Source organism: Homo sapiens, chromosome 9 (assembly GCF_000001405.40).
Source record: "Homo sapiens chromosome 9, GRCh38.p14 Primary Assembly".
Lineage (NCBI taxonomy): Eukaryota > Metazoa > Chordata > Mammalia > Primates > Hominidae > Homo > Homo sapiens.
The window spans coordinates 107,837,284-107,855,254 of NC_000009.12; the positions used below are offsets into that span (position 1 = coordinate 107,837,284).

The 17,971-nt window shown below is 42.1% G+C and overlaps 1 pseudogene; it reads right to left on the minus strand.

Moving 5' to 3' along the window:
* Positions 1–13,120: 13,120 nt before the first annotated feature.
* Positions 13,121–16,954, minus strand: LOC101926973 (small EDRK-rich factor 2-like; annotated as a pseudogene).
* Positions 16,955–17,971: the final 1,017 nt, after the last annotated feature.

A 17,971-nucleotide genomic window follows, 5' to 3' on the forward strand; every position in this document is an offset into this window, starting at 1 on the left:
CTTGTACCCAGGAGGCAGAGGTTGCAGTGAGCCAAGATTGTGCCATTGTACTTCAGCTTGGGCAAAAAGAGTGAAACTCTGCCTCAAAAAAAAAAAAAAAAAAAAAAAAAAAAGGAAAACTTGGACCGCAACTTTAAGCCATGGAGAAACAATGAAAACATTTGAGATAGAAAATGAGTTTGATGAGTTGGTAGTAGGAGGGTCAGACAATTTCAGGGGATGTTTACCTAAGAAAAGTAAAAACATATGCTCACAAAAGATGTGTAAAAGAGTATTTTCAGCAGCTTTATTCACAGTAGCATGAAACTGGAAACAAGCCAAATGTCCATCAGCAGGAGCATGGACAAACCAACTCAGGATACAGTATCTTCATACCATGGAATACTGCTCAGCAGTGAAAAAGAAGAAACTACCGAGATAGAAAACAACGTGGATCAAACTCGAAAAACATGTTGAGTGAAAGAAGCCAAACCAAAACGAAGAAAAGAATATTGCATGATTCCATTTATATAAAATTGAGGTCAAACAAGTTGAGGCTTTGGTGAGAGGTACTGGAACAATAATTACTTATGGGGTGGGGTGGGGATTGACTGGAAGAAGAGGCATGAGAGAATGTTCTGGGCTGATGATAATATTCTAATTCTTGATTGAGCTATTTACTTCATGAGTGTTTGTGTTTGTCAGAACTCATCTAATTATATATTTAAGACTGTGCAGTTTAGTTGTCCATTAAAATAGCTCTTGAGAAAAGTTAAGATTAATTTTATTTTTAAATTTAATATAATTTTAATTAATTAATTAGCCTGTTGCCCAGGCTAGAGTACAGTGGCGTGATCTCGGCTCGCTGCAACCTCTGCCTCCCAGGTTCAAGCGATTCTCCTGCCTCAGCCTCCCAAGTAGCTGGGATTACAGGCACCGGCCACCATACCCAGCTAATTTTTTGTATTTTTAGTAGAGATGGGGCTATATCACTTGGCTAGGCTGGTCTCAAACGCCTGACCTCAGGAGATTCACCTCCCTCAGCCTCCCAAAGTGCTGAGATTACAGGTGTGAGCCACTGTGCCTGGCCTAATTTTTATTTTTAGAGACAGGGTCTTGCTTTGTTGCCCAGGAGTGAGTGCAGTGGCACAATTTTGGCTCACTGCAGCCTCGACCTCCTGGGCTCAAGTGATCCTCCCACCTCAGCCTCCTGAGTATTTGGGACTACAGGCACACGCCACCATGTTTGGCTAACAAATTCATTTTAGACCAGACTTGTAAGTAAGCTTGTGGCATTGGGAATTGGTGAACTTGACAGTCAATGTCAGGCAACAGCAAAGCAACTTATCTGCAACCTAGGTTTCTAAGAGAAGAAGATATTTGGAATAAGCTATAAAAGAGTAGAAACCCACCAGATGGACCAAGGTGTAGAATTTACTTCAGGAAGAAGAGAAGGAAGATCATAGGCTACAGGTTGGAAAGAGAGGCATCTGAACCTTGCAGATGAGGTGATGTAACAGGAAAGAGAGTCTGTGAAGGGGCAGGGGATAAGGCTACAAAGGCAGCGTGGGTGACCACAGGGATAGCTTAAGTGGCCAGGAGATGGTGGTCCCTCACTGTACAAGGCAGAGGGATATGCAGGCCTGGATCTCAGAAGAGAAGCCTGGAGACAGAGTTTGGGGAGAGTGGCCAGCATAGAGGAGGTAGTGAAAACATCTGGGAATGGACAAGCTAACCCAGAAAATTAGAAAAACATGTAGTATATGTGGTATAAAAATGAATCATCTCTCAATCTTACCAGCAAGAATAAAGTAGTGATGGCTGGGCCTGGAGGCTCACCAACACTTTGGGAGGCCAAGGCAGGTGGATCACCTGAGGTCAGGAGTTTGAGACCAGCCTGGACAATATGGTGAAACCCCGTCTCTACTAAAAATACACAAATTAGCCTGGCATGGTGGCAGGTGCCTGTAATCCCAGCTGCTAGGGGAGCTGAGGCAGGAGAATTGCTTGAACCCGGGAGGTGGAGGTTGCAGTGAGCCAAGATTGTGCCACGGCACTCCAGCCTGGGTGACAGAGCAAGACTCCGTCAAAAAAAAAAAAAAAAAAGAATAAAGTAGTGACTTGACCTGTCAGCTTGGCTAGACTTTGACTTGGGTTCAGCTGCTGAAGATGAACATGAAGCTGGTTTCATATACAGAAGAATGGAAAGAAAGATCATTCTTTCTTCCTTGACGTGTCCAGGGAAAGCAAACCTGGTAGCCTCTCTCTCTGAGCTATACAATGTTGCCCTTGTTCAAGGTTTCTCCAGTGACAGAATCCCATACACTGTCTTGTTCAGACCAAATGGAAATGAAGCCATTCCTCAGCTTATGAAAAAAGAAGTCCCAGAAAAGGAATTACAGCCTGTGATGAACAGACTTTGTGCTGTTTTATGTCTCCTGATGACTATTACCTAACTTCTGTATGCCTCACTTTCTTCATTTGTAGAAAGGGGTTACTACTGCCATAGGATTATTATGAGGAGTCAATGAAAGATATTTAGAAAAGACCCAGAATGGTCCTTGGTACATAATAAGTGCTATACAAATGTTTTTCAATTAAATTTATTTGTTAAATGAAAGGTAGAGTTCTCAATGGAAAGAGCTATAAAAAAGAACTTGCCAAGAGTTCCAGTGGTTCACTGGTAGAAAATCAACTCCCAAGGAAGATCAAATTAATTGTCTTACTCAATTTGTATTTTGGAATAGTTTTAGATTTATGTAAAAGTTGCAAAGAAACTGAGAATTCCTCACCAAAATGATTTTTGGAATGTGTACCCAGTACTAACCATGTGCAAAATAGTAAACTAAGCTGAGTGCAAGGGTCCGGGGAAATAAGGAGAACCATAGAGTAATAACTCATCTAATCCTTCCTACCTGTTGATTGTGGGGGAAAAGAAGAGTTTACGTTCATGTATTTGTTTGCTGTTAAGAGCCTGCTAGTTAGCACTGTGATAGGAACTGAGGATATAGTGGACAAATTCCTCCATCTGCCGAAGAATGTTCCTGTAACTATGCCAGGCACTAGGAATGCAACAGTGAAGGTTACTGTCCATATAGGTCATCGTTATAAAAGCAGAAAGAGAGAAAGATGGATGTCAAGCACTATGTGAGCTTCAAGGAAGAGGGATCAGGTCCATTTGGGAAGAGGCTTCATGGATAAGACAACTTTTGAAAGATGGAAAGATGGGTAATTGGGGAGTCTTATCCCCTTATAATAAGGGCTTCTGAAGAAGATGGGTAGACTCTAAAAGAGCTGAGACACTGGCCAGGTGCAGTGGCTCATGCCTGTAATCCCAGCATTTTGGGAGGCTCAGGTGGCCGGGTCATGAGGTCAGGAGTTCGAGACCAACCTGGACAACATGGTGAAACCCTGTCTCTACTAAAGATACAAAAAATTAGCTGGGCGTGATGATATACACCTGTAGTCCCAGCTACTCGGGAGACTGAGGCAGGAGAATCACTTGAACCCGGGAGGTGGAGGTTGCAGTGAGCTGAGATCGCGCCATTGCACTCCAGCCTGGGTGACAGGGCGAGACTCCATCTCAAAAAAAAAAAAAAATAATAATAATGACTTGACCTATCAGCTTGGCTAGACTTCGACGGGTTCAGCAGCTGAAGATGAACATGAAGCTGGTTGGATGGCACACACACACAAAAAAGAGTTTTGATATTAAACCTGCAACTTTGGTGACATTGTGCCATTGACTGGAGAGCAAAGGGATGAAATAAACTTATTTCTTAGCAACTGCATTCTAGAAAGAGAGACAAGAAAATATGAGAGAGAGAATTAGGGCAGGAGAAGAAGAGAGAGGGGAGAAGAAAATTAAGTTCTGTTTTCCGCTTAGGTAGGAGCAGTGTCTGAAGGATTTCTAGAAGCCTGGATTAGGCTTCAAACATTTAATGACTCAAATCACCCATGCTTGCTGATTTCCAAGTTCTTCCTGAAAGAACATAGGCACTTGTTCCTTAAAACAACCCAAAGAATGTTGCAATATACTCAAATCAGAAACCACGTTATTTTTAGTTACTTTCTCCTCTTCCTCCTGTGAGTGACTTCTTGTATCAGATGAAGGCAGCACATAACCTGTGTGGCCTGCTGACCTTGTATCCCTGGAGAAGGTGGTTACCTGTTACCCAGGAGATGGGTGGGCTCTTCTTTTCTGTGACTTTCATCCCCCAACCCAACCCCCATTCTTACCTACTCTTGTTAACTCAGGCTCAGATACTATGAGCTTTTAGAGGACAAAGAACTTGTTGCTCACCTCTGCATCCCAGCATAGGCCTGACACACAGTAGATATTCAATTATTCATAAATAACTTACTAGAATAGTGGTGGAAGCTTCAATTATGCCAGAATTGTTGTGGTGAGATCCTCAGATGCATTGCTTCTACAAATACTTTCAAGAACAAGTTATTCTAAGGTAGTTTCACCATGAAAACAAAGACCCAGTGGACCTTCTGGGTCCCATCCAGTTCACTGAAATTTCTCAGCCCAGTTATGCTCACTATACATAGAACTAAATTCATAATCTTTAACCCGTTTCCCTAAACCAGTGCCTGTTTTTTTTTTAAATGGCATCACCTTGTTCAGACACCCACATTAGAAAACCGAGCAAGATTCTCAACTTTTCTGCTCTTTCACTCCCTGTATGAACTGGTTACCGACTCTGAATGCTGCTACCTCAGTATTTCTCTGAAACACGTAATCCTTCATCATTCTGCTCTGAATTGTTCTCATGTCTCCCGTTGAGCCTCTGATTCTAATCTTCCAGCTCTGATCTGTTCCTCAACATGGTCCTGCTAATATGCAGAATTGACCATGTGTCTCTCTGGTTAAAACCCCTCTGGGAGTATCTTTGCTTTCATCCAAGTCCAGAATTGAGAATCTGCATGCTTCTTAACACAACTCATACACTTCTCCATAGTGCTCCACCCATCTCCCCCATCCTCCAATCTCCTGTCTGTCATAACGAGTGTCTTTATGTTTCCTAAAAACACCTGCCTCTTCCTCATCTATGCAGGTTGTGTCTTCTCAAAGCTCTGGGGAGGAGGCAGCTTAGTGAGATTTGGCACAGCAGCTTATTCTGCTAGTTCCACCACTGTTGCTATAACTGACCCCAAAAAGCCCAAACTCAATGAATCTACTGCTCGCTTTGTTGAAATACCATGGAGGTCAATTCAGGCAGTGTGAACTCCGTGAGTTTTGTTTAATTACTGGTATGTTTTGGCTGTGTCCCCCGTCAAATCTCATCTTGAATTGTAGCTCCCATAATTCCCACAAGTCGTGGAAGGGACCTGGTGGGAGGTAATTGAATCATGGTGGTGGGTTTTTCCCATACTGTTCTCATGATAGTGAATCAATGGTTTTAAAAAGGGCAGTTCCCTGCACATGCTGTCTTGCCTGCTGCCATATAAGTCGTGCCTTTGCTCTTCCTTTGCAGTCTGCCATGATGGTGAGGCCTCTGCAACCATGCTGAACTGTGAGTCATTTAAACCTCTTTCCTTTATAAATGACCTAGTCTCGGGTATGTCTTCATTAGCAGCGTGAGAACGGACTAATACAATTACATTGCCCACATATACCTAGCTCCTTAAATTCTCATTTGAACTGGTTTTAATGTCTTATTAATTGAAGAGTTGATTAAAATCTTTGATACTTGTTTGTGTGTGTGTGTGTGTGTGTTTTGTTTTTAATATAAATAGAAAAGTCATGTTTTGTTTTGTTTTGCTTCTTAAAGCAGAGATGGGGTTTCACTATGTTACCCCAGCTGGTCTTGAATTCTTGGAGTCAAGGGATCCACCAGCCTTAGCTTCCCAGAGTGCTGAAATTACAGGAGTGAGCCACTGTGTGTCCTGCCTGCCTTCTGTTTTTTTTTTTCTTTTTAGAAAAGTCATGTTTCTAATCCTCCAAAAATTATATTTTAATGACAGTCTTTAATAACAATTATCCTTTTAATGACATATATACTCCTAAAAGTAGGAGTGACCTGTCGTTTCAGATTTTTCAAGCTTAGCCTAGTCTTGTGTCTTCCCCTGGGTAGAAACAATTTATCTGCCTCATCATGGGCCACTCCTATCTCATAAGTTATTATCTTTATTCCCATAGCACTTTGAATTTAACCTATTTATAACACGATTGAATTGCATTCTGGGTATTTATATTTGGGCCCTGACCCCATCCCTGTGAGAAGACTGTAAACCTTTTGAGGACAAGAACTATACCTTTCTTTCATCATTATATCCCCTCAAGTTTCTATAGACCCCAGTGGTGCAGACTTTAGAATTAATGAATGGATGGATGAATGAATGAACAAATGAATTGGGCAAGAAATACAAAGATGAATAAAATGGGTTTTCTTGGTGGAGAGACAAATATATGCTGTCATTCCTTTTGCCTGGTGTCCAGAAAAGCCTTCTGGATCCATTGTTATATATGCATGCATTTTCCTTTTTATGAGGATGGCTGTTTGATGATTGACATTGTTTAAATAACTGCAACTAATCAGTTCTGCCCATGGGATTTGGAAACCCTGAAGTATGTTCTTTGGAATAGGATACAGCATTATTTTAAATACTGTGCAGGTCAAGTATTATTACTAACATATCTCATAAGAAACCAGATGTTGCCAAGGTTTAGTTCACTTAATTCAAGTAATATTCAACATAAAATTGTATTTCGGCCAATAGTTTTGAATAGAGTTTTAGAATTTGTTGTAATGCGATTAACTCATTATATTAATTATTACCTTGATTCTCAGGAAACTCCTTCTGTGTTCCCAACTGGGGATGGGGACTTCTCACTTTGCTCCCAGCTTCTGTCTCCCTTTATCCAGGCAAACAGTCTGTGTCATTATGCCTCCCCATATGCCTCCTGTGTGGGAGTTGTCTGGTAGCAGAAACCATGCCAGACTCATCGAAGATCCCTATCACCCAACACAGGGTCCGACACTATGTGGGTTTTCACTGAAGGCTTCCTGCATGAAGGGGAGGAGAGCAGAGATCATGGGCTCTGGGTCAGACCTCAGTCTGTTAAAGAATTATTTCCAAACAAGGAGAACATCGTGACTTTCTTTTTTCTTCTTCTTTTTATTTAAAAATACAGATGGGGACTCATTATGTTGCCCATACTGATCTCAAACTCCTGGCCTCAAGCAATCCTCTCACCTCAGCCTCCCAAAGTGCTGGGATTACAGGTGTGAGCTACAATTCTTGGCCTAACATCATGATTTTCACACAGGTAGAAATTAAACGCATGTTAAATATTTTATTTAACTTATTAATTAGAGAATGAGGCAGGTATTATAACCAGTTCAAAGGAGAATCTGAAGAACTAGCACATGTATACATGAGGAATATTGAAATGAATATGCAAATGAAAACAAAACTAGTTTCCTTTACAGTGGAAGAGGAATCAATGGAAACCTTTGTGGATAAAACAGAATTTACATGTCCCTAAACAAGAATTATTTTGCATCTCTATCAGTTATCTACAATTTCCAGAGTTGTAAAATAGCTCCCTTGGAATCAGAATCAGGCAACTTAGAAGGTGTTCTCTAGACAATATAGAGTTTCCCGTTAAAGCACAGAATTCCCCTTTCAGTTCAAATCTCACTTGAGCTCACCTGAGGGAAGGGCATCTGGGTAGAGATAACAGCACCAGGAAAGGCCTGGAGGCATGAAGCTTCTGTAAGGGGAGGAAAGTTGCTAGAAGAGTGAGAGGTAGGCAGTAGTCAGAACATATTAATAACCCAGGAAGACCAGGATAAAGATTTTTATTTTTTATTATTTTTTTATTTTTTTGAGACAGGGTCTCGCTCTTTTGCCCAGCCTGAAGTGCACTGGTGTGATCACCACTCATTGCAGCCTCCATCTTCTGGGCTCAAGCGATCTCCCAACCTTAGCCTCCCAAGTAGCTGGGACTACAGGCATGCACCTCCATGCCCAGGTAACTTGTTGATTTTTTGTAGAGGCAAGGTCTTCCCAAGTTGCCCAGACTGGTCTTGAACTCCTGAACTCAAGTGATCCTCCTGCCTTGGCCTCCCAGAGTGTTGGATTTACAGGCATGAGCCACTACGCTCAGCCAAGATAAGGAATTTAAATTTAATCCAAACTTTTAAAATCACACAACTCTAACAAAATATATATTTGGAGCACCTCATCCCCATTTGTGCATATTTGTTAATAAGTTATGCATACGTATTGTGGTATTGTGATACCAGAATAACTCTAATAGCACAAACTCAGATATTTAACAGCTGTGTGACCACAGGCAAATTACTTAACATAGCCATGCCTCAGTTTCTCCACCTTTTTTTTTTTTTTTTTTTTTTTTTTTAAAGAGATGGGAGTCTCATTATGTTGCCCAGGCTGGAGTTCAGTGGCTATCCACAGGTGCAATCATGGAAAACTATAGCCTCGAACTTCTGGGCTCAAGCAATCCTTCTGCCTTAGCTTCGTAAGTAGCTGGGACTACTTTGCCCAGTTTCAGTTTCCCCATCTTTAAAATGGAGGTGAGGCTGGGTGTGGTTGATCATGACCGTAATCCCAGCACTTTGGGATGCTGAGGCTGGAGGCTTGCTTGAGCCCAAGAGTGTTGCTTGAGACCAGCCTGGGCAACACAGTGGGACCCCATCTCTACAAAAACAAACAAACAAAAACGATACAATACAATGCGATACAATACAATACAACACAACACAATGGAGATGATAACGTAAGGTTGTCTTTCTGTATTCAATGGATCAGGTTGACCACCCCACATGGTATGTGTACTCCATTTCAGAAATTATAAATGAGAGGCTTGATAAACTCTGTGGATTGTAGAGATGAAGAGTTTGGGATAAGAGAAGGGGTAAAGGCAATGAGATCAGAGAAGAGGCAGTATTGCAGCACAGGACAGAGATGAAGGGGGCTTGAGCTAGGGCACCCACGGGGAGTTGTGAGTGGGGCTCACTGAAGGTAAGATTGGGTGTCTTTGGTAACTTTCAGACAAGGACTTGCAGAGAAAGGCAGAATGAAGACATGGAGAAGATTCTTTGTGTGGGAGGCAGATGATGCCTAGAACGAGCTTCAGAGTTGGGAAGAGAGGCAGAGAGGTGCCAGAAAAAGGCAACAATAAGAGGCTCGCTGGACAGTGGGCTCATGTCCTATTGTCCCCTCTGCTTTGGGAGACACTAGTGGCTCATGCCTGCATTGGTATTTACGACTGAGACTACAACGGGCTATGGTGTTACCCATGATTCATAGGCCCACTATTCTGTACAGATACAGTGCTTGTTACTTTACAGACAGTGTTTACTTCATTTAGTTTTCCCAATAAACTTGTAGGAATGACTACCATCCCCATTTTACAGATGTAGAAACTGAGACTTACAGAGGTTAAGAGGCTTGAGCTGTGAAATGACATGCTCAGTATAAAGCACCCTGCTATATAATCCCAAAGAGTGTGTGCTCGTTTTCTCCTGCACCTTGTTGTTTCCCAGCTGAAACCTAGAAATCTAGAAAATTGCATTCCCTTTGCGCTGGTTACCTCACTTCTCTCTGCTTGGTAATTCTCGATGTCCTTACAAGGAGGAGGCTCCTCCTGACCTCTGAGGTGGCCACCTGAAGAGCAGGATATGTCAGCACCTGCTTGCTGGGAAGCACCACCCAGTGTATCCCATTCCTTACCCCAGGAGGCAGACAAGGATGGGGAGAGGCCTGGTTGAGAAGAGAAAGCTTCATGTGGTTCAAGAAAAATACCAAGTATCTTCTTTTTTTTTTTTTTTTTTTAAGACGGAGTCTTGCTCTGTCGCCAGGCTGCCAGGCTGGAGTACAGTGGCGCAACCTCTCCTGCGTTCAAGTGATTCCCGTGCCTCAGCCTCCCAAGTAGCTGGGACTACAGGCGTGTGCTACCCTGCTTGGCTGATTTTTTGTACTTTTTTTTTTTTTAGCAGAGACAGGGTTTCACCATGTTGGCCAGGGTGGTCTTGATCTCCTGACCTAGTGATCCACCCACCTCAGCCTCCCGAAGTGTTGGGATTACAGGCGTGAGCCACCATGCCTGGCCCCCAAATAACCTCTTAAGAGTTACAGACTGCACAGGTTACTGGCTGAATAAGTTGGGGGAGGCTGGTAGGGAACCTAATCTTTTAAGATTTAATCCACAGGAAAACAAAGGGAGACCCTCCAGAAATCAGAGGCCATTGCTAAGGGGGAGAATCGGTTGCCTTCAGGCACCTTCACCCCAAATGGCTTGTGTGTGTCTTTGATGTCCTGCCCTCTACTGCACCTCCATTTATTGTAAAGTGTTACTACTTTCAAAGAATTGGAGAAAGTCTACAATAAGATAGATAAGTTACAGGTGACTATTGTAGGTAACTTAAAAATGTGCTTTACAATTTTAAACTCTTCATGCAGACCTAAAAGGATTAAAAGGTGAATGACGCCAGGTACGGTGGCTCACACCTGTAATCCTAGCCCTTTGGGAAGCTGAGGTGGGAGGCTCACTTGAGCCCAAGAGTTAAAGACAAGATCAGCCTGGGCAACACAGCGAGACCCCATCTCTATTAAAAAAAGAAAGAAAGGTGAATGAGGATAATCCCTGGAACTCGCTTTAATGAAGGAATCAAAATTATTTATAAAGTGAACATGTACCTTTCTATGCTCTCAACGGTTTGCAGTTTCTCAGCTATTCTGAATAATCATGTGAAAAGCCTGCATAAATGGTGCTTCTAAAATGCTTAAGCCCTTTCTTATCTGAAAGCTTTGCTTAAACTTCTTTGTGAAAGGCACTGTAGGTTTGTTGAATGAATGAAGGAATGACAAAGAGAGTTTTTTATTTTTCTTCAGTACCAAAGGCCAGTTTAAGCCAAGCCCTTGACTGAGTCATCACAAATTCCTGAATTCACACATAAAAATGAACTCTTACCATAGATGATGTGTTTGCCAGGACAGGATTAGAATTACTTTTTTGAAAATATTTTATTTAAACATGGGAGGTGCATTTAGAGTTGTGCCTGTACATTAAGTTATATTCTCCATTATAATTGTGTTGACAGTTGTAACAATTACTCACATTCACTGGGCTCTGCAGAGTTTAAAACTCTTTGACACTGAAATGTCAAAGAAGTGAGGATACTGAAGTTCAGAGATGTTTCAGCTTGCCCAGAGGTTCACCAGCGTTTGTTCATAGATTAACAAGCAGAGGTTAGCCCGTATACGATAGCAGGGGTGGCTTCTCTTTAAAAGGAGATATTGTTCTTTCTGTTCTCTAAAGAGGCAATGCAAGCTGGTTGAATGTTGCAGAGAAATCAGCTTCCCAATTCAGGAGAAATGGGAGCAGGGCAGGCCTCATGCAAGATGCAGCTTTCGAATACTTGAATTTTTTTAGAGTTCTCCTCCTCCTCTGGGTTGGGCACGTAGCATTCTAGCAAATTCAAAATGTTTTAATTTCAGACTAACCATTCATCTGAAGCAGAACAAAAAAAAAAAGAAAAGAAAAAAAACACATAAAAAAAGCAACTAAATCCGAGTGTTGCAAACTCTTTTAGCAAATAGTTGTGAAATAGCATTGACTTTGCCAGTTCCTGTTTTCATTTTCCATAAATCTATTCTGGTATAATTTTATTCCCTTGAAGTAGATGTAGCAAGTTCTTCATGATACTAAATAAAACAACAAGATAATCAGTTAAAAAGCCCACTATATATTAAATAACAGCAACAACTAAACTCTGGCCCCAAGTTAAACTTAGAAAAATTACTTTTTTGGGGGAAAATTCAAAAGTTTTAGAGAAGCTGTAAGACTACTTAAAAGTGTCCTCAAACCAATGTTAAAACATTTGTAGGCTGGGCGCAGTGGCTCACACCTGTAATCCCAGCACTTTGGGAGGCCGAGGTGGGCGGATCACTTGAGGTCAGGAGTTTGAGACCAGCCTGGCCAACATGGCAAAACCCTGTTTCTACTAAAAATACAAAAAGTAGCTGGGCATGGTGGCGGGCACCTGTAATCCCAGCTACTTGGGAGCCTGAGGCAGGAGAATCACTTGAACCTGGGAGGGGGAGGTTGCAGTGAGCCAAGATCATGCCACTGCACTCCAGCCTGGGCAACAGAGTGAGACTCAGTCTCAAAACAAACAAAAACAAAAAACAACATCAGTAGTGAGTGACTAAACATAGGAACTATACTTTTTTTTTTTTTTTTTGAGACCAACTCTCGCTGTGTCACCCAGGCTGGAGTGCAGTGGCGCCATCTCGGCTCACTGCAACCTCCGCCTCCTGGGCTCAAGTGATTCTCTTGCCTCAGCCTCCGAGTAGCTGGAATTACAGGCATGTGCCGCCACCAAGCCCAGCTAGGAAATGTTTCGCCATGTTGCCTAGGCTGTCTCAAACACCTGGGCGCAGGTGATCACCTGCCTTGGCCTCCCAAAGTGCTGGGATTACAGGCATGAGCTACCACGCCTGGCCAGGAACTATAAATTGAATCAGCTCAGGAGAACCATAAAGATTCTAGTGTCTTCAAGTTTCTGTAGCACTTATGATGGGGGTGGAAAACAGCATTTGGGGGCTGGTAGGCGCCTGTGGCTTCAGGAAGATCCTTGCTCAGTTGACCCCTACCCAGATGCATGACAGTTGGGTCACTGAATCTTTGCAGCCTCAGCTATGAGGGGAGAAGGATGACTGATGTCAAAGGGTTGTTGAGAAGTACTGAGAGTTGGGAGTCATCTCCACCCAGTGGGAGCTTAACATGGAGTTGCTGCCATTGTTGTGAAAATGAAAGACAGAAAGGATGAAAAAAAGAAACTAAAGCTTTGCTTTTGTGCAGGAGTGTCCAATTGTTTGGCTTCCCTGGACCACATTGGAATAAGAGTTGTCTTGGTCCACACACAAAAAAAGCACTAACACTACTCATAGCTGATGAGCTAAAAACAACAACAACAAAAAATCACAAAAACATCTCATAATATTTTAAGAGTTTACAAATTTGTGTTGGGCTGCATGTGTGGCCCGTGGGCCATGGGTTGGACAAGCTTGCTTTTGTGAGTGAGGCTTGAAGTAGGAGAGCTTAAGAAAATATGAGGGAAGTCCTATCAGAAGCAAGTTATGTAAGCGGAATATCCCGTTATCCAAGTGAGGCTTTTTGGATAAAAATCTGACACCAAAATTCTTTCCGTGTGCTCCTAATAGCACCCTGAGTGGAACAAATGGAAGGCGTTTACATTTCACCAACTCCCCTCATCATCTTTTGATGGGGCAGTCAGGCCACATTAGAACCAACTCCAGGCAGCTCATGCTGGAGTGCTCCAATTTGTAGCGTCTTCCTGTCTGCTGCTTCCCTATTGCAGGCCCACCTGGTCAGCTCTGCCCACTCCTCTTTTGGTCCCTTTTTGAGTGGAAAGCCGCCTGGTCATGGCCGCTCTGTGGGGGAAAGCACTTGCAGTCCTTCTGTTGTGTTCCTGGCTGTCATGTGGGTTTTGCAGTGTTGATGAAATGAGAAGCAGGGATCCAAATATCACCCTGAGGTCATTTGCCCTATTCTCATTGCTACTCGGGCAATAAGAGTAGGTTGGGCAAACATATAATGGCAATAAAAGACAGTGTGGCCTAAAACATTGTGTCTCTGATGCAGAGCCCTCAGCAGTCCTAGAGAACAAACTCTCAGAGCCGGCCATGATCACAAAATAAAAATCATGTCCTTTTGATCCTTCTCATAAGGCCAGATCCTGTCGCTATGCTTGCTCATGGCATCCCAAGCATCACATTCATCTCCGTGTAGTTCCTCAGTCTGTTTGGTGGGTCCCACCCTTAGCCTGACTCTTACCCCCAGGCTATTTGCTCCATGAGGAAGGTCCTGTGTGGCTCCTATGCACTGTGATATCCAGTGGATAACACCGAATCTAGCACCAGTTGGTGCTCAGCATACATTCCTAGGATGAATGACTTGAAATGAATGTTGTATTCTAGTTTACAGCTTTTTGGCCCAGGACGTTCGGTCCTCAATAACCTTTGAAAGCCTCCATTAAGTTCTTCCTAACAGACAATAAAAGCTTGCATCATAAAAGGTTTAGTTTTTGGTTTAGTCCACTTGTGAAGATAGAGCACACACAGGAGGACTGGGGGGTCCCTAAAAATCTAGTTCATCTCCTTGGCATTACAGATGAAGACAGGGACACTCAGAAAGGGGCAAGAACTTAAATAAGTGCAAGAAGGTGACATAATCACCACTGGACTCTTAACAGCCTGTGTATTTAACAGGTGCTCCTAATAACTCAGGGACACTATGGTATAGTGGTTAAGAGAGTGGGTTTTAGGTACCAGACCACCAGGTTGAAATCCTGGCTTGGCTACTTATTAGTGTTAAAAGAGAAACTAGACAAATTTAACAGGGTTTAATTGAGCAAAGAATGATTTGCACTTAATCCATGCTTAACATTGGATTTATATCCTCTTAAATACCAACTTTGTTTCTTCAATTCAGGTACATAGCATTGCTTATTAAATGGGTTATCATAGGTAATTTGCCTTGGACTGTGGAGCTCATTCAAATTGCATATCTTAATAATTTTGGTACTGGCTGCTTTAACATGAAAATCTGGCAAAGTATTTCTTTGGCATTTAATTAATATCTTGCTTGAGTTAGCAGTTTTATAAACCAGTCAATCTTTTCATTAGAGTTCTGGGAATTCTTTCTTTGTCCAAATGATCCTAAAGTAATCAGAAATCTGTATTTAAGAGTTTTTGTCAGCGTCCTTTCCATCCTTTCCAGGAGCCGACCTGCTTAAAGATACAATACTTTAGAATTTTACTTGCTTGTGAAGAGCTTTCAGAAAATGCGTAAGCATTAAGCAATTAACTGTGGACAAGACTTAAAATGGTCGTGGTTAAAGATGCAATTGACAAGAAAATTTGCTTATTTGTGTGGCTTACAATAATTTAACATAATAAGCACAATTATGACTGATAATATATCAGAATTTTATTTTATTTGAGACAAACTCTGTCACCCAGGCTGGAGTGCAGTGGTGCAATCTCAGCTCACTGCAACCTCCGCCTCTCAGGTTCAAGCAATTCTCCTGCCTCAGCCTCCTGAGTTGCTGGGACTACAGGCACGTGACACCATGCCCAGCTAATTTTTTTGTATTTTTAGTAGAGACGGGGTTTCACCATGTTGGCCAGGACGGTCTCTATCTCCTGACCTCGTGATCTGCCCACCTCGGCCTTCCAAAGTGCTGAGATTACAGGTGTGAGCCACCACACCTGGCCATTAAAAGGTTTTAAAAAGCAAAAACGTTTATTCTTTGATGGAGAGGAGGGTCAGTTTTCCAAATAATCAAAAGACCTAATAAAGACAGCATGAAACACAATCTGTCTCTCCTTCTCTTCCCTGTTTTTTTTTTTTTTTTTGCAGTTTACTTAAAGGGTGAAGAATATTTCTTTTGCTCTCTCGCATATTAATACTTCACAAACTCCTTCTTCAAAGAAGAAAATCAAATTTTACTTTTGTATTAGTGTATTATCAATACTAAAATTAATTTTAAGAAAGTTTTATAAACAGAGGGTGGGTATGGTGTCTCACACTTGTAATCCCAGCACTTTGGGAGGCTGAGGCAGGAGGATCACTTGAGGCCAAGAGTTTGAGACCAGTCTGGGTAATGTAGCAAGACCCTTATGTCTACAAAAATAATAATGATAAAAAAATAATTAAAATAAATTAGCCAGGAGTGGTGGCATACACCTGTAGTTCTAGGTACTCAGGAGGTTGCAGCAGGAAAATCCCTCAAGCCCAGGAGTTGGAGGCAGCAGTGAGCTAAGGTTACACCACTGCATTCCAGCCTGGGTGACAGAGCAAGATCCCATCTCTTAAAAAAAAACAAAAAAAAACCCTCATAAACAAATACATCTAATCTCAGCCAGCTTTTGAACACAAAAATAAGATTTCCATACAATGGATACCTTGTATTTTATAAAATAATCTCTTTTAACCTCTTACATAATATCTTACAATCTTATAAGATTATAATCTCTTGTATAATTCTTTTTATCTTCTTTCCCCAACATTTATATTCATTTAGTTTTATCTATAGCATATTTTCCTTCATTTTGAAACAACTTTTACATAACCTCAAAAAGAGACAAAATTACTTTTTGTTTGACAACATACTCATCCTCATGTCTTTTTTATAACGTTCTTCACCAAAAAACACCCATCTCACTTTATTTATTTATTTGAATTACAATGTGACTTTTCATACTTTGGAGTGAGCCCCACAGGAATAAAAAACACTGGGAAGGGAAGACCACTTGACCCTGAGGAGTGGCCCGGGGGGAGAGAGGCTACCTCAGGGGAAGGAAGCACAAAAGAGATGCCCTGCAGGCTCAGGGCAAAGGGAATGCCATCGGTGCTGGTACCTGTGAGCACTACAGGAGGAAATGTGAGTACGGTTGGACTGGCTTCAGGCACACTGGCAAACGGCAAGAGGGCTGGACACAAAGCCACAAATCTACTTGGGTCCTCCTTCTCCTTTTTTATTTTTATTTTTGAGATGGAATCTCGCCCTGTTCCCCAGGCTGGAATGCAGTGGCATGATGTCAGCTCACTGCAACCTCCACCTCCTGGGTTCCAGTGATTCCCCTGCCTCAGCCTCCGAAGTAGCTGGGATTACAGGCGTGTGCCACCATACCTGGCTAATTTTTTTTTGTATTTTTAGTAGAGATGAGGTTTTGCCATGTTGGCCAGGCTGGTCTTGAACTCCTGACCTCAGGTAATCCACTTGCCTCGCCCTCCCAAAGTGCTGGGATTACAGGCGTGAGCCACCATGCCCGGCCTGGGTTCTCCTTCTCATTTGCCTTTTTCTGCTTCTGCTGAATGGTCTCCAAGTCCCTCTGCTTGCAGGAGGCAACAGAAAGCCCATCATCTTGGTGCTTTCCCCTTAACCAAGTCACTCTGCTTTTTCATATTCTTCTGGTGGGCAAGTTCACCACAGTCATGGCTACGGCAGGGCAGCAGCTCTTACCTGCCTCTGTTGTGTCCCTCTTTCTGTCCGTATCTCACTTAATATGCTCCGTATACCGAATTGTTTCTTTTTTATCTCGTACTTTTAACTACAATTAACTATTACAATTAAAATTAACTACAGTTTCAACCCTTAGTAACCCTAATTTCCAGTGAAAAACCTAGGAAGTAATCTGAACTGTTTTATATCAGTATTTATAGATAAAAACCATTTCATAAATTTTTAGAAAGATATGTTCCCAGCTGAGCATGGTGGTTCACATCTGTAATCCCAGCACTTTGGGAAGCCAAGGCAGGAGGATCACTTGAGGCCAGAAACTCAAGACCAGCTTGGGCAACACAAGACTCTCATTTCAAAAAATAAAAGAGATATGTTTCCTCAATTTTTTTTATTTACTAACAGATCTAAATATATTTAGCTTTTCTATACGATGTAAAATAAGATGAAGTATAGAAACTTAAGCTTATGTTTAATAATTAGTGTTTTAGTATTTTATAATAACTTAGAAATGACTCAAACATTTTATGATTATCTGTTACTTAATTTAACATAATGTGTCTTTAAGATTTTTAAATTACTGAAAAGAATCTTCAAACTATGACACAGGTACACTACCTAATGTCTTCTACAGTCATACTGAGTCTCAAATACCACATGGCACCCGGGACAGCTACGAAAGGCAGGGACCTTCTGAATCCTGAATTTACACAGCAGGTGTAGAGGTCAGAACACTGGATGGAGCTGTAAAGAGAATGCCTGGAGGATCTGACTCTTCCTAGTATAACCAAGAAGCAAAGCTGGGCCATATTGGGCCTGGCTCTGCATTGGAGCTGGTGGCCCAGGCATTGACAACACAGGATGTGTCCCCAAGCCCACAATAGCCACTTGACCAGGCCCCAGTATCCAGAGGCTCAAAACCAAATACTTATGTAAGCTCCCAGTAAGATGTGTGCAAACCT